Genomic DNA, 16,107 nt, shown 5'->3' with positions numbered 1-16,107 from the left:
ACGCCCGGCTAATTTTTTGTATTTTTAGTAGAGACAGGGTTTCACTGTGTTAGCCAGGATGGTCTTGATCTCCTGACCTCGTGATCCACCTGCCTTGGCCTCCCAAAGTGCTGGGATTACAGGCGTCAGCCACCGCGCCCAGCCAATTTTTATATTTTTAGTGGAGATGGGGTTTTGCCATGTTGGCCAGGCTGGTCTCGAACTCCTGACATCAGGTGATCTGCCCGCCTCAGCCTCCCAAAGTGTTGGGATTACAGGCGTGAGCCACCGCGCCTGGCCACTACTGCACTTTTTTACTTCACAAAGAGACTGTGAAGACCAAGGGTGGTTAGAAAGAGGGATACTGCTGACTTTAAAAGAAAACACAGTGGTGATTCAAGGAAGGGCAGGGTTACTGGTGGCAGTAACAGTTGAGATCTGACATCAAGTCATAGTAATAACATGAACTTTGTTAGCTGCCTTTATCCACAACAGCTTATATGCTGGTAGGACTGGTAACTAGATAATTCATACTGTTGAAGCTGTAGGGTTTTGTTGTTTTTTTATCAATTTTTCTTATTTTTTTAAGTGACAAAAAGTGTGTTTATGGTGTACATGATGTTTCAAAATACACATACATTGTGGAATGGCTAACTTAAGTAAATTAACACATGTATTACCTCACATACTTATCATTTACCTGTGATGAGAAGACTTAAAATCTCTCAGTGGTTTTCAAGTATACAAAAAAACATTGTTTATCCACAGTAGTCACCATGTTGCACAATTAGATCTCTTGAAATTATTCCTCCTGTATAACTGAATTTTTGTATCCTTGGACCAACATCTTCCTGATCCATGCCTCCTTCCTACTCCCTGTAGTTTTTTTTTTCCAGCAGGGTTTTCCTCTTGGAATTTTCATATCTCAAATTTCAGACTGTTAAATTAAGTCCCTTTTTTGAACATTCATGAAATAATGTCATGTGCCAGGAAAATCCACCAGAGGGCGCTAGATCATTTAAAGAGTCACCACCTGGCTTCTCCATCGCAAAATCGCGAAGATTGATGTCAGAGTATTGGAACTAGGTCCAGGTTGGAGGAAAAGAAAATCCATTGCACATTAATTGCGATGCTGGCCAACATTTTAGCAAATAATCTTTTTTGTTCTCCTTTTACCTTAGTCACTCTGCTTTTTTAGTATGTATGTTTATGCACTTCCTTTTACTTCTTTTAAATCAGTTAGGACTGTTCAGATTAGAATATTTAAGCTTGAAACCTCTGATTTGCTTTGAGAGCTGCCATAGACACACATGCACATGGTACAGAGGCTGCCCTTCTCTCTGGGAAGCTTTTGAATGAATTTAGAAATAAAAATAAGGCTCGTGGTGTTTTCAGAACAGAGGGTGAAGTTTCTACTTCTGTTGAGACTTTCAGTTCTTGTGCAATGGACCTCAATTTCCAGCCTGCAGACACACCTACATTAGGGGAAGATGTGCTGGGCTTAGAGTGCTTCTCTATACCTTTCCCATTTCCAAGGCTGTCCAGGGACTGGCAAGAAAAGGAGTGGTGTTGGGTAGTCAGAGAGCTCATTTAGGCTGGAGGGGCTCTGCTGTGCCCTGGAGTCTGGCCACAGTCTGGCTGTGGACATGCTGTGGACAGCATGACATGCAGGCATGTGCACATACAATTACGAGCTCAGGGGTCAGAAGATCTGGTTAGACTTGCCTGTCCATTTTTGGGGTCACAGTAATTATAGTTAAGATCTGTATAATATTTCCTTCCTTCCTTTTTCTTTTTTCTTTCTTTTCTTTCTTTCTTCTTTCTGACAGTTTCACTCTGTCATCCAGACTGGAGTGCAGTGGTGCAATTTCGGCTCACTGCAACCTCCGCCTCCCGAGTTCAAGCGATTCTTATACCTCAGCCTCCCGAGTAGCTGGGATTACAGACATGTGCCACCATGCCCAGTTAATTTTTGTATTATTAGTAGAGATGGGGTTTCACCACGTTTGCCAGGCTGGTCTTGAACTCCTGACCTCAGGTGATCCCACCGCCTCAGCCTCCCAAAGTGCTGGGATTACAGGAGTGAGCTACCATGCCCAGCCTTCTTTTTCATCCTCACATATAACCCTTCGAGGTAGGCAGGGAAGTTTCTGGCTTTATTTTGATTGTATAAATGAAGAAACACATCAAATCAAAGATACCTAAGGTTCCTTTTAAGTTTGAGGTTCTGTCTGTGCAGAGCCTTTTCCTAAATTTGTAATGCCAGGGGCCAAGTTTTCTGGAAGTGGTGCAAAAGTTTGTGAACAATGTGGAAATGGCCAGAGAGAACTGGGCAAAGGCCTGGGAATGTCTATTTCTGGTGGATGGTAGCACTCTCTCAGTGCTTACCAGCCAGGCCATTCAGGGAGGAGGTGAGAGACTGGGGATTGTAGGAAGGAAAGGATATTGACATCAACACTGAGAGTTTCTGATGATTCCTGACTAAGCCGAGGCTTTGGACAGCACAGAAGTTGCTAAAAGCTTCAATCAGCAGAGGCAGGGGTGATGAAGAGAGCAGGAGATGGCATCTGAGGGGCCTCCAAGCACCCTCTCCAAAGATGCTGAGGTGATGAAGGTGATGATGGAGGAGAAAAAGCTATAGATCCTGCAGTTGGGGTGACAGAAGTCACGGCCATCGGCTGCTTACCAGTAGACCCCAGACTGGCATTTCAGGGGAATCCAGGCTGTAGGGAATGTCTAAGAAGGCCCCAGAGGGGATTTGCTGGTTTGCAAAATTTCAATTTTGTGGGTGAGGGAATCCATTCTGGAGGTTTCATATCCCACTGGGGAGACAGTCCTATCCTTTGCTGCCCTTTTTATGTTCTGGGTGTTTTATTTTTAAATTTCAAATCTTGGCCTTGATTTAAGGAATGTCCTTAACTTTCTTGGCATTGCTGAGGCACAAAAGCAGCAAACTACAGCCATTGAGAGGCTAATAAAGGAACCTCAATGCCATAGTCACCTTCCTGCGCATCCCCACAGCACTTCTGGGTCCCGCTCCCCCAACCCAGTACCAGAAAAGGCCCAGGGCCTTTGCATGCTTGGGTCTGGTGTGGCAGGGATGCATTCAGAGTGGCTGAACACAGAGGCCGAGGTTGGAGGTACTATGGGATGGTATGGAGAGGAGGCTCAGACAATTCCATTTTCTGGAGCACACTTTCTGCAGCTCCCTTTTACATACACTTCTTTTTGAGAACCAAATACTCAAGAACTCTTACCTCATTCCATTTTCTCCTTTGACTTTGGCCTTGACTCTTTCTTAGTGGATGTGTACTCTAAACCCAATGAATGTATTCCGAATCAAGCAAGAGAGAAGCTTCAAACATCCTCTTCAGCCTCTCTGCCCAGCTCAGCCTCCCTTGCTCGCTCTTCCTTCCAGAGACCTCCAAGGACAAGGGCAGGGCTGATCTGACTCTCACGGAGACAGCCTCAGGTGTAAAGCTAAGGATGCTAACTTGGGCCTTTTCCATGGGAAGAGCTGAAAGGAACCTGAGAATTCCAATTAGGCTTAAACTAATGAGCTGGAAACTTTGGGGAAACCACTGCAGCAATGAGGGAAGAGCGTGATCATCCTCGATTTAATTAGCGCTGGAAAAACTTGGGGTCCAGCTGGTAGCACGAGGACGGACGCTGTTCAGGGGGCGCAAAGTTTCTGAAAGTGTCAGAAGGGGGATTCCCCTGGTGGTGTACGGAGACACGCTACGGAACAAACACGGACTCCTTCTTCATCTTAAGTGGGGAGAAGGGAAGACCCTAAATGGGGAACGGTGAGCCAGAATGAAGTCTGGAGTCCCTCTTCCCCCATCTGCCCTCCTCACGGGATGGATGGAGTCTGAGACTATATGAGAGGAAAGCAACCCTTCAGGGAACTCTATTGTCTATCGGGGCCTGCACTATCCCCAGGCCAGGTCGTCCTTGATCATTTCTGCCTACTCTTTGTTGGGCAGCCTCTGTTGCTAATAAGGAAAAAGGAGAGAAACCACCTGCTGCTGTCAGAGGCCACAGACCACCCGCTGGCCTTCCTGACTCTACCCTCCAGCCACACGCGGGACCCTGGGCACATAGGTAGCAGGAAGAGCGAAGTAGGGGTGGGTAGCTGTGTGTATCCTGGCGTGGGGTCCTCCTCACTCCCGAAGCCCGAGGGTCCTGGGGAGCTCAGCCTGTGGAATCCAGTTGACAGCTGGCCACTCCTCCCCTCCCCACTGGGGGCTCTTTGGGGAAAAAAACGGCCTGACCGGGGCGCCCCGCCGTCCTCCCAGTGTACCCCACCGCTCTCGGCTGGGGGCGCAGCACCTTGGAGAGAGGCGCCTGGCCCCGCGCCTGGGCTGGGGGCGCTCTACCTTGCGCCCTGGGGGTCAGGGGCGCTTGCCGGGCCGCTGCCGAGGGGCCCTGCCCACCCCTGCCCAGCCCGGAGCCCAGGCGAGCCAGCGCGGCGAGCCTCCTCCCCTCCCGCCTGGGTCGTCCTGAGTCCGCGCCCGCTCCAGTTGCTGCAGCTGCTGCTGCTGGCGGCTGCGGGGAGCGCGGGGCGCGCGCCGAAGAGGCTTGGGCGGCGAGGACGGGGACGAGGAGGAGTCGGAGGCGGCAAGGAGGAAGAGCGAGCGGAGGCCGAGGGGCTCAGCGGCGTGGCGACAGGACTAGGGGGTCCCGAGAACATGGGCTAGCAGGCGGCCACGGGCCGGCGGCCGGACGCGGTGAACCTGCCGCGGCCGGGCGCGCACTGGCGCGGCGAGCCGGAGCCGAGCGCAGCCGGGGGAGGAGGGCTGGCGCAGGGGCGCCCGGGCGGAGGGGGCCGATTATCCATTATTAACGAGTTACCACCTAATAAGCGGAGAGCGGCTCGTTAGCCGCGCGGGAGGCGCTCGGGGAAGGGGGTCACCGGCCGAGCGCAGCGCACACCCGTGGCGCACGGCGGGCGGCGCGGCGCCGAGGACACCCGGGACCGCGCGCGGAGCCGGGGCGGGCCCGGGGGCGGCGCAGACCCCGGGCGCGGGCGGCCCGCGGCGCCCCCTGGCTCTCGGCGCTCGGGGCCAGCGCAGCCCGGGGCGAGCGGGGCGCGGGCCGGGGAGGGGGAGCTGCCCGCGCACTCCATCCCCCTCCCCCCCGGGCGGGCGGCGGCGGCTCGCTGTATATATCTCGGCGCACCCCGCCAGGTCGCGCACAGCGCCCCGAGCCCAGGCGCCTCCCCGCCCCCCTCCCGCGCTCCGCGGCGGCGGCGGCGGCGGCAGCAGTAGCAGCAATATGGCTGTTGATGGGTGTTTGGGGTGGCGCTGGCGGCGGGAGGAGCTCCCCCGAGCCCCTGCGCCGGCTGCCCGTTGCTAGCTATGGCAAATGGTGGCGGCGGCGGCGGCGGCAGCAGCGGCGGCGGCGGCGGCGGCGGAGGCAGCAGTCTTAGAATGAGTAGCAATATCCACGCGAACCATCTCAGCCTAGACGCGTCCTCCTCCTCCTCCTCCTCCTCTTCCTCTTCTTCTTCTTCCTCCTCCTCTTCCTCCTCGTCCTCGGTCCACGAGCCCAAGATGGATGCGCTCATCATCCCGGTGACCATGGAGGTGCCGTGCGACAGCCGGGGCCAACGCATGTGGTGGGCTTTCCTGGCCTCCTCCATGGTGACTTTCTTCGGGGGCCTCTTCATCATCTTGCTCTGGCGGACGCTCAAGTACCTGTGGACCGTGTGCTGCCACTGCGGGGGCAAGACGAAGGTAACGCGCGCCCCGGGCGCCCGCCCTCTGCGCCAGCCCCACCGCTTCTCGGCGTCCCCTGCAGCCCACCTCCTCGCTCCGCGCCGCGCCGTGCCTCCCTCCATCCCCGCCTGCCTTCCCCTCGCCGCCTTCCCTTCCCTCGGCTCTCCCGGTGCTCTCGGATCGGGGCAGCGGGCGGCGCGCCGGGGGTGAGGAGTTGCCCCCAGCCAGTGCGCTCCGGGACGCGGACGCTCAATCCTGTCCTCTTGTTTATTGTAGGGTTGTTGGCGGCTGCGGCTGGGGCCGGGGTCGGGGACTCACAGGCTCGGGTGCCGTGGTGCGGGGTGGGGACAGCCAACTCAGCGGGGACGGAGGAAGCTGGGGGCAGCTGGGTGCGTGTTTTGCACCGCTCACCTGCCGGGGCTCGGCTCCTGGCGGTGGGCGAGAGGGAGCACATCCGCCCATACTTTAGGAACCTGTTGGGGAGATGAGTTCGTGGGGTCAGAAAGAAGGGAAAAATCCTTTGGGCAAGGGAGAGAATAATTTTGCACAAGGGAATCCCGGGGGAGGAGCATGGCCCGAGATAACAGGGGGACTTCGAGGGGCGAGAGAAGTTGGGGAGATCCATCCCACTATTGGGGGTAGCCCACGGGGCTGCCACTTTTGGAATGTGTCGAGGTCGCATATCTGATGTAACCTCCCACTCCGTCCCTTAGGTGCTCTAGTGGAACATACCCCAAGTTCTTCGGCCTCTGTTCCTTTGCCCCCAGGCCACCCACTTTGGGTCCCCGGAAATGCCACCAGCAGCGCGGAGCTGGAGCGGGAGTCCGCCTGAGGCCGCGGTTTTACGCGGAGCGTCTTCCCTGGCGCTCGAGGTGGCTAGATGTCGTCGGCTTTAGCTATTCCTGGTGCAGACGCCCACCGGCACTGAGGCTGGCGACACCTTCGATGTATGGTTGCTAGGCTCACTGCCTGGTCTGTAGTCGTGTCCCTAGAGATGTCTTCCCTTCCCCACAGCCACTGGCTGGAGTGGGGGACCCGACACTGATAGAAAACTGCAGAATAAAAAAGAAAGAACTGGAAAAAAGAGAGTGAGCCAGCTGCCTTCTTTCTGAGTAATTCCCATCCTAGGGGACTTCACGCGCGAACCGTTTTGGAGGGAAGGGAAATCCAGGGGAATAGTGCAGGGTAGATACACATTGCAGCCTCCACATGTTCACATCTTTTCTAGTAAAGTTAAACCGAGGACCCCTCAAACTTCTACAGGGCACAGCAACTTGTAGCAGCCTCCTTGGCGGCTGAGAGAAGTAGGGAAGCCTGGGGCTATGGGTGAAGGCTGGCTATGAAAACACCAGGGGGGAAGGAGCCTGTCTCTCCTGATCATTAATTATACATCCTGTTGGGTGCTGGAGCTCAGCTGTGTTTTGTGGCAGCACATTTGTGTTTTGGAAAATACTGGTGTATTGGAACAAAGGGAGAAATATGAAAACCATCATTCTCTTCGTCATTCTCTGGCTTCTCCGGAGGCCTGCAGGTGCTGGTCGGAGAGTTTTCTTTGGAATTACCTTCTCAGCCGTAGAGGTTTCTTCTTATTTGTTAAGGAGGCAAACCTCCCACCTTCCAGAGAAGCCCTCAGGTTAAGCAAAGCCCTATACACCAGATCCCTGACTAGCCTTCCTGCTGAGAACAGCTTATTCCTGGAGCCTTCAAATTCCCACATTCCCTCTCTCCATCCTTCTCCTCCACCTCCCCCAACAGTCTCGGGAATTTTGTTCCCCGGTTTACTGAGATTCAGCGACTGTCTTTAGGGGAAAGATAGCTCATAGTTGTGTGCCTCTGAAATGTTCCCTAGATAGAGTGATCTGGGTGAACTTTTTAACAGCTTGCTTTCTTTCAGGCAGGGGGCAATTTTTATCATAATGAAAACTTTTTCCATGATTGAAAATAAGTTGTGGTGTTTTTGTGAACCTGGGGTCCTAAACACAGCTTCCAAAGTCTTTTTATGTTAGGGGGTACATAAATGCAATTGCAGTGTCTGTAATGAAATGCTAATCCCATCGCACACACAAAGGATCTCCTAAATGATGAGCAAGCATAACTTCTGTCAGTTTACTCAAGAAAATAGGTTTTTGGCAACGATTAGAAAAAACAATTCGTAAATATTTGGCTATGTTTTGTAGCCCCAAGACCTGCTGAGTGGACATAACTGGAAGTGAGTTGCTGTAAGAAATCTGCCAGGGATGAGAGGTGATGGTGGTTTGTTTGGAAGATGTGAGGCCAGTATAGAATGAGTGCAGGTTCCTTTTGATACCGTAAGTCCATTTTAAAGCACACCTAGAATCTCTTGATACCTGCCCCTAGATTTGCTCACTTAAGCCATAGGTAGCCAGCTCATTATATGCAGTAACGGTAAGTTAGGCCTTTTAAAAGCTTTTCTTTCTATGCTTGAGGTCTGTATTTTTATTGCAATTGTGTGTGTGTGTGTGTGTGTGTGTGTGTGTGTGTTTGTCTTTTTTTCTTTTTTCTTTCCAAGTATTTGGTAGTTTTGTCAAGACTCGATACACAGGCATGTATTTGGCTTAAGCTTAGAATAATAATTTTTGTGCTAGATTTCCCAAGAAAACATAGGCTGCCTTTCCAGAAAATTCTACCAGCCCTCAGATGGGTTCACCCTCACCCTCCTTCAGCCCCAAGATGGTTTGATCAAGAGCTGGAGTCCAGAGGAAAGCAGGTCTGAAATTCTGTGGGAGATAAAATTCAGCAAGGAGCTCCAATTTCATGAGCGTTTGGTCTCTGGGATCGCACCAAACCTTTTTGATCAAAGGAACCCAAGACTGTGGACATGCATCGTGGGACATCTCTTCATTAGTACCTTTGGCCTCTGAATCTCAAACAGTGAATGACTTTAGTCTTTTGAAAAGAGTGGCATGTGGACTTTTTCAGAAAGTGAAGAAGAAAACATTACAATTTCCTCCTGTTGGGAACTTGGTCACAGTCATTCCAGTACTGTGTTCTTTGCTGTACTTTTTCACATTATTGTTTTTTTCCTTGTGGGATTTCATCAGAGCTCTCTATTCACTTGGGTGTGACGTTGTGAAGTTCAATCCTGTCATAGACTATATTGAATAGGGAGCTGCTCTGGTAGCCTGAATAAAGCCATGACTTTGAAGAAGTTATTTAACCTCTCTGGTGTCTATCTTTCCTTGTGTATAAAATGTGGGGATTGAATTCTGTGAGTTCTAATGTCCCTTCCTGCTCTGTGATTCGATATAGGAGAGAGGGAGGAGTTGAGGAATGAGGGTTAAAGTTTCTAGCTCAGAATGTGTTTTGCAGTTCCCTAGCAATTCCTTTAGGAATTCAGCCTTGGGACAGTTACATATCTTTATTTCCATCTTCTGCTCGTCTTCCAGCATGTGGTCTACTTCTCTTTAAATAACTGGGGAAACTGAGGCCAACTTCCTGTTGGAGCTGTGGTTTGTTGAGGGGCCTGAGTGTGGCTGGGCATAGAGTTATTTCCATTCTCAGTTTGAGCTGTTGGCCTTGTAGAAGCTTGGGCTTGATCAAGGATGGTCTGCGTGTAATGAATTATCGAGATGTTGTCTCCATGGCTGTGCCTGAGAAAACAACACGTTTTCTCTGTCAGGCTCGTGACTAATATAAATATCAGATCCCATTACAGCTTGGTAATTACCCAGGGTCTGGCCTGACGCAGTCAATCAGGGCTGGAGCTTCAGTGCCGTGGAGCTCTTGATTCCAGATTGGCCCTTGTGCCTCATCTCATCCTGTCCTGGGGATTGGCTGCACCAGATGACCTTGAGATACTCCTTTTTGAGCAGATCACTTGGGGTGGCCTTGGAGGAGTTCTTGGGTCCTAGTCACGGGGGAGCTCCAGCTGACCTGCCCTTGTCCAGAGAGCTCGTGCTCCTCATTCCTTGCTCTCTCTCTCTCTCCTTTTATTAATTTTTTTTTTTGAGATGGAGTCTCGCTCTGTCACCCAGGCTGGAGTGCAGCGGCACGATCTTGGCTCACTGCAGCCTGCGCCTCCTGGGTTCAAGCAATTCTCCTGCCTCAGCCTCCCAAGTAGCTGGGACTACAGGCGCACGCTGCCACACCTGGCTAATTTTTGTATTTTAAGTAGAGACGGGGTTTCACCACATTGGCCAGGATTGTCTTGATCTCCTGACCTTGTGATTCGCCCACCTTGGCCTCCCAAAGTGCTGGGATTACAGGCGTGAGGCACGGCGTCCAGCCCCTGGCCCTCTTTATGGAAATGCACACTTTAGTACAAGACTCTGCAATCAGGCAAACCCAAGTTCAAATCATGGATCTCACATTTATTAGCAGGGCATCTTTGACTGCCAACCATGTTGAGCTTTGGTTACATCACCTATACCAAGAGCATACTGATGCTTACTTTGTAGGGTTCTTATAGGGAGCAGGAATAATGGGCACATAGCACCCTGCAAATGCCAGACACTTAGCAGGCCTCTTGTAAGTGGTAACTATCATAGCTTCATGAAGTGCTGAGTTTATTTTCCCTTTGATTCATTGAACTTATAGCCCCTGAAGGGCGCAGACTATAACAAATAAAGTTTTTGAGCCAAAAGGAGGCTTTAGATCCTGAAGTATACTGTCATAGATCAAAAAACCATTTAGAGTCAGACTGAGACATGGGCTTATGGCTCTTGGCTGTTGCAAGGCTGGAAAGTTAGGGCAGGGCAGCAGAGGTAGGCTTCACGGATGGGGTCCTGGCAGGATGGTTACAGTTTTGATGGTGGGGTATCAGTGGACGAACATCGACAGTATGGGGGACCAGGAGCTGCTGGGCTGGCAGAAGGGAAACACTGTGGCATTTGGTGGGCAGGTATGGTTGTCCAGCATTGTACCCTTGAGGAGGGACAAATTCCATCCCTGTTATCCCAAGTCCAGAACTCATAGACCTGTCTCCCAAGTGATGTCACGGTCTCTTGGCCAGGACACTCACTGTCTACCCAGACCAGCTTTTCCAAGACACCCCCTAGGCCAGGTTTCCCCAAGTGTGTTCTGTGGCACACCTGCCTTTTAAATTACCTTGTGAAAAAAAATCAGCAGGCATGGCGTGGCTGAGCTTCCCCTTTGGAGGGCCACATCACAGGCTTGGCGGCATCCTGCTGGTAGAGAAAGTGGTTAAAATGCCCTCAAATGTGCTACCTGTGAGCAGTCTTGCTTCAGTGTCAGGGGTGCTGTGCAGTGCCCAAGGTTCAGCCTGTGATCCTGGGCAAAGACGTCATGCCTTTGTGCCTCAGTTTCCTCACCTGCAAATTGAGGTCTGTGATAGAGCACAGCCTCATGGGGTGGTTTTTTTCACCAACCCCATTTTATAGCATTTCCTAGGAGGACACTGAGAACCTATGGCCTCCCTTTGGGAGCCTTGGGCTAGCCCTGCTTCTAGGTGCCCAGGAAACTTGACCAAACATACAACAGGAGGAAAAGAAGAGCTGCCTGCCCCCTGCTGTTTGGCCTGGGGGATAAAGCATTCCAATGGTAAGTCCAAATGGACCTTCTCTTTGCCTCACAGCTATTTTGTTCCCTGGATGGGGACATTCATTGGTGGCTGATAGCCAGGAGTAAGTGCTTGCTTTGGGGCTGTCTCTCTCTTTCTCTCTCTCTCATCAGGGCATGAGAGGCCTGGTGCAGAAACAGTTACATTGGCATTCGATTGCAATGCCAGGACCTCCTTCCCAAAGTGGGCGTCCCGGCTCACACTGGCAGTGACCATGCTAATCTGTGAATCACAGCAGCCAATACCACCTTGCCAAGCTGCAGATCCCCTGGAAGGTCGCCTTTGTGGTTCCAGTGAAAGGGCTGTTTGTGCTGTGATGCCAGGCCCTGGGCCGTGTGGGGAACACTGGGTCCCTTGGAGACATCCCTGGGGATCAGACAGGGCCATGCCTTTCTGTGCACAGTCAGGGAGCAGACCAAGGATGTCTCTTTTAGAACTGCTTCTTGGGTGGGTGGAACCCCACGCATTAGGCACCTAGAAAAGGAAACCCAGGGACCCTCGGAGGCAAGGGTGTCCTAGCACTTTGGACAGAAAACCTGGGGAATGTTCAGTGGGAATATCACATCTTTATCTCCAAGGACTGGAGAGTGTCTCTAGGCCTGGGCTTCTCAAACTTTTTTTTTTTTTTTTTTTTTTTGGGACAGGGTCTCACTCTGTTGCCCAGGCTGGAGTACAGTGGCATGATCACTGCTCACTGCAGCTTCAACCTCCCAGGCTCAAGTGATCCTCTTGCCTCAGCTCCCCAAGTAGCCAAGACTTATGGGTGTGTGCCACCACACCTGGCTAGGTTTTAAATTTTTTACAGAGATGGGGTCTCCCTATGTTGCCCAGGCTTGTCTTGAACTCCTGGGTTCAAGTGATCTTCCCATCTTGGTCTCCCAAAGTGCTCCCACAGTGGTGTGAGCCACTGTGCCTGGCTTAGTCAAACTTTAATATGCTCAGGAATCACCGAGAGCTGTTAAAATGCAGGCTGTGATTCAGAAGATCCAGTGTGGGACCTGAGATTATGCTGGTCTGGCGAGACACAGGCTATACTGATGCTGTGCAGACCACACTTTGAGTATCAAGGATCTGGTCCATCCCTCAGCCTCCGTGCAGTCCATCCCTGAAGACAGGCTTATTTTTAAATGTGGAAATTCCCAGCTCTTGAAGGGGGAAGGGATGAGAAGCAGAAGGTTTGCTCTGCCAGATCGTTGGGTGGAGAAAACTCCTTTCAGACCAGGGTAGCTGTGGTTCGGGCTGGGCTCTTATTTGCGAAAACTGATGGTCCAGGTGCCTGCTCCTAAGGAACCCATCAGCGTTGTGGATTTAGGGTTGGGTTGTGGTGGCCAGAGCAGTGTTTACAGGGTGTGGTCTGTGTGTTACCCACCAATGTGTGGGCTCTTCCTCGTGCCAGTTGGTCATTCTGCAAAGGGTGTGACTTCCCGAAGTCCAGGAGGGCAACCCAGCCAAACTACCTCCTTGCAAAATTAAAGGCTGGTGGTGTCACCAGGGCTGCACTGCGGTGATGCCCCAGGCTGGCTGGGGACCACTCCCTCTGGAGTGTTTGAAGTCAGTGGGCATTAAGACTGCCAGCCTGATTTTCTGTAGGGGCCTGGGTGGGCCTTCCCAAATGGAGGGTTCAACCTCAAAGAATTGGCTGAAGAGCTGCCCGTGGAGTGACTGGGGGACACGCGTGGCACCGTGCTGTGTGGCCCTCCAATGCACTTCTTAAGAATTCCAGAAGATGAAAGTGAAAGTAGCTCCTTTTCTCACCATACCAGGGTTTTTCACAGCTCACACTGTCAGGGACTTTTTCCATGAGATGTGCTTTTTATGTTGTTTCATCATCAGAGGGGAGCACCATGAGTGTCTGCAGCAGGCAGAATGAAGAAGGACCTAGCATCGTGGCGGCCTGCACACAGTAGGCCCTCAAAGAAGTCTTCTGGTTATAATTATTGTTGTTGTTTTTGCTTTTGTTGCATATTAAGTGTATACGATGTGCCAGAAACCAAGCTAGGTGCTGGGGGAAAAATAATTAAGACCCAGTTCTGACTCCCTGCTTGTTAGGGCTTTTATTAGTACTTGACAGGCTGAGCAGAGGAAAAAACAGTTATCTTCTCATGGAATATGAACATCTGATCTCTGAATTGCCTGCAAACTCCTTGAGGGCAGGAACTGAGTCATGCAAATGTAAACACACGTAGATGTTGGAAGGCTCTTTCCAGTAGTTAGCTGGGGGCTGAACGAGAATGCATTGGTTGGGGGTGGCAAATATATTTTCCTGCTTTTTTGGGTAATTTGTTAGATGCTATGGAGAAACTCCTGGTGAAAGAGATGGGCTTGGTTTGTTGACAACATGGTGCTTGAATCATTCGTGGATTTTAATTATTCATGCCACCTGGTTTCTCTTGATCAGTAGCTAACAAGGATTTAGTTCATAATGGGCAGTTGTTTGTGAGGTGGATGAGTCAGGCACGGGAGGGAAGGGCAGTTTCAAAAGAATGGCTGCTTTAAGATGGAACTTGCTTTGTTTTTGGCATTATTTGGTGATTGTCTTGGGACATTGTGTCTAATTGCCAATTTGGAAATGTAATTGGCACTCCAGGCCCAGAATGGATATACACTTAACGTTGTCAAGCCGAGCCTTGGAATCATCTCCCTGTAAGATCTTGTTACCTGTATGACTAATACTTCTTCACGTGGCCAAAATCAAAATTATTTAACACATCTCCTTTATTTTCTATTCTTTATGCTGGTTCACTGGCCTCTCTACCAGATTTTCTTGGGGACTCAGATCCAGTGGCCTCTAGGCATTTCAAAGCGAATTCACAGGAAAGCCTGAATTCCAGCCTTCTCCCCCTCCTCCTCTTGCTCCATCCTTTCTTTTACATCCTTTTTTCCTTAGTGGCTGTCATTCCTGAGGGTTTCTGTGGAAAGTTGGTGCTGTTTAATTTTGGTTTCTAGCACAATAGGGAGGAATACTTCAATTTGGGGAAGAAGTAATTAAGGTAAACATTATGTAGATCTCCCCATTATCAGAGTTGACTTTTACTTGGGGAAGGGGTGTTTTTTTAAAAAGGAAAAATAGGATTTTAGATTTTTTTTTTTTTTTGAGATACCGTCTTGCTGTGTTGCCCAGGCTGGCAGGCTGGAGTGCAGTGGCATGATCTCGGCTCACTGTAACCTCTCCCTCCAGGGTTCTAGTGCCTCCTGAGTACCTGGCATTCCAGGTTCTCATGCCCCATGCCTGGCTAATTTTTGTATTTTTAATGGAGACGGGATTTCACCATGTCAGTCAGGCTGGTCTTGAACTCCTGACCTCAAATGATCCACCCGCCTTGGCCTCCCAAAGTGCTGGGATTACAGGCATGAGCCACCGCGCCCGGCGAGATTTTAGGTTTTTGACTTGAAGTGAAGTTAATTTCCATCTGTTAACTGCTGAAGTCTGGGACCATGATGTCTTTTGCAAAAGAGTTTTTAAGGCAAGACTGTCAGTAATATTCTTTCCAGGGTCACTTCTAACTGTACGAAACTATTCAGCCACGATGGGTCTGCATCTTTGCATATCATTGTAAACCAAATTATCTACAGGCTGTTGGGCTGCCTGTATGTGCATTTCAAGTTGGGAGTATAAGATGAGTATTTATTTTATTTTCTGGTTCCATGTCTTGTTCTTGCTCCTTCTTCCCTTTTAGAGACTGGACAGTCCTCTCTGTCTTCATCTTTGGGAGTGAACTGGGGCTGGGGGGTGGGATCGAGAGTGGCCTCTGCTGGCTGGGGGCTTCAGGTTTGTAGATTAGTAGACAACAAATAGCGACCTGATTTAACAAGTGCAGAAGCGCATGGAACTATAAATTCACAGTGGTGGAAGGAAGCTTTGGGGCCTCAGGCCCTGTGCGATTCCTCCCCAGTGCTGGAAGCCCACCCTACCAGTGTGTTTATGATCTCCTGAGGCCACTATTCCACTGGGGACAAACCCACCTTACGATGAACTTGGAAAGATCTTTCTGTTTGCACTAGTCCTTGTTTGCTTCTAGTCTGTGTCTGGGACATGCAGAACAAGCCTTGGTGGATGGTAGATTTCAAATTCTAAATCCAGTTCAGGAAGGGACAGAGCTGGGTGGTGTTTCCATGTCCGCAGTGTTGAGACGTAGAATGACCTTAACCTTAACTTGTGTTTCCTCCATGAAGGCCACTTTATTTTTCTCCCTGATGGCTTCCCTGGGTTCTTCGTCCTCCTGAGACAGTGTGGTTTCCCTTTGCCCCTTTGCCCAGAGTTCAGAAAACGACCCATTCTGGTTGTTTCTTGAAGTTTGCCTTCTGAGGTCTCTTCGGTCTTGTCAGCAGCTGTGACTGGAGGCTTTTGACTGTTGCTGGGCCATAAATTCACCTCCTTATCAATGTCACGTGCCTTGTATCTCCAAGGTTTAGCCCCCTTCTCAGTTTCACGTGGGGGTTGTAATTTGGGGGCCCTGCCAAGAATTTGGATGTAGGGTACAGAGCCTTTGTTAGGAAACTCGAGTTGGATTCCATTTTCTAGGTGTTGACTCTTTTTCACCTAGGGAGACAGACAGTGCTCTTGAACCTCTTTTTGCATCACTTGAATACAGCCGCTTCTTAGAATAGGAGGCTGTTTCTTTCCCACCTGCTCATTGGGTCTCCTTTCCTCTGGGGCTCCTGTATGCCTCTGCTGTCATCTCCCCTATTTTGCTGAACAGAAAGAAACCAGAAAAGAAAAGAGAGCAAAACACACAAAGGAAGAAGGTGAGGGAGGGCAGGAGGTAGAGGGAGAGGTTGACACCAAGGAAAAAAGAATTTCTCCTCTGAGAGTTAGAGGTTGGATAAATAGCTAATTGGATGGATTTTGGTTTTAGTTACCTCACCTTT

The 16,107-nt window shown here is 50.6% G+C and overlaps 1 protein-coding gene across 57 annotated transcripts in view; it reads left to right on the top strand.

The window, feature by feature from the left end:
- KCNMA1 (potassium calcium-activated channel subfamily M alpha 1) overlaps positions 5,174-16,107 on the top strand; it is a 768,207-nt gene continuing 757,273 nt past the window's right edge. For 53 of the 57 annotated variants that reach the window (XR_007061964.1, NM_001271518.2, XM_017016222.3 and 50 more), the window contains exon 1: positions 5,174-5,717. Coding sequence is in view for 56 of the 57 variants with exons in the window: in NM_001271518.2 (NP_001258447.1) it covers positions 5,340-5,717 (378 nt within the window). In the remaining variant the exon portion in view is untranslated. Of the gene's footprint in view, positions 5,718-5,975; positions 8,873-16,107 lie in introns of those variants that run through there. The other 4 variants (NM_001322839.2, NM_001271522.2, NM_001271521.2 and 1 more) reach the window with 4 other exon arrangements.

The sequence above is a fragment of the Homo sapiens genome, chromosome 10 (genome assembly GCF_000001405.40).
Source record: "Homo sapiens chromosome 10, GRCh38.p14 Primary Assembly".
In the NCBI taxonomy this organism is placed as follows: domain Eukaryota; kingdom Metazoa; phylum Chordata; class Mammalia; order Primates; family Hominidae; genus Homo; species Homo sapiens.
Note: the sequence above shows the minus strand (reverse complement) of the source record. Positions and strands in the feature narration are given on the sequence as shown.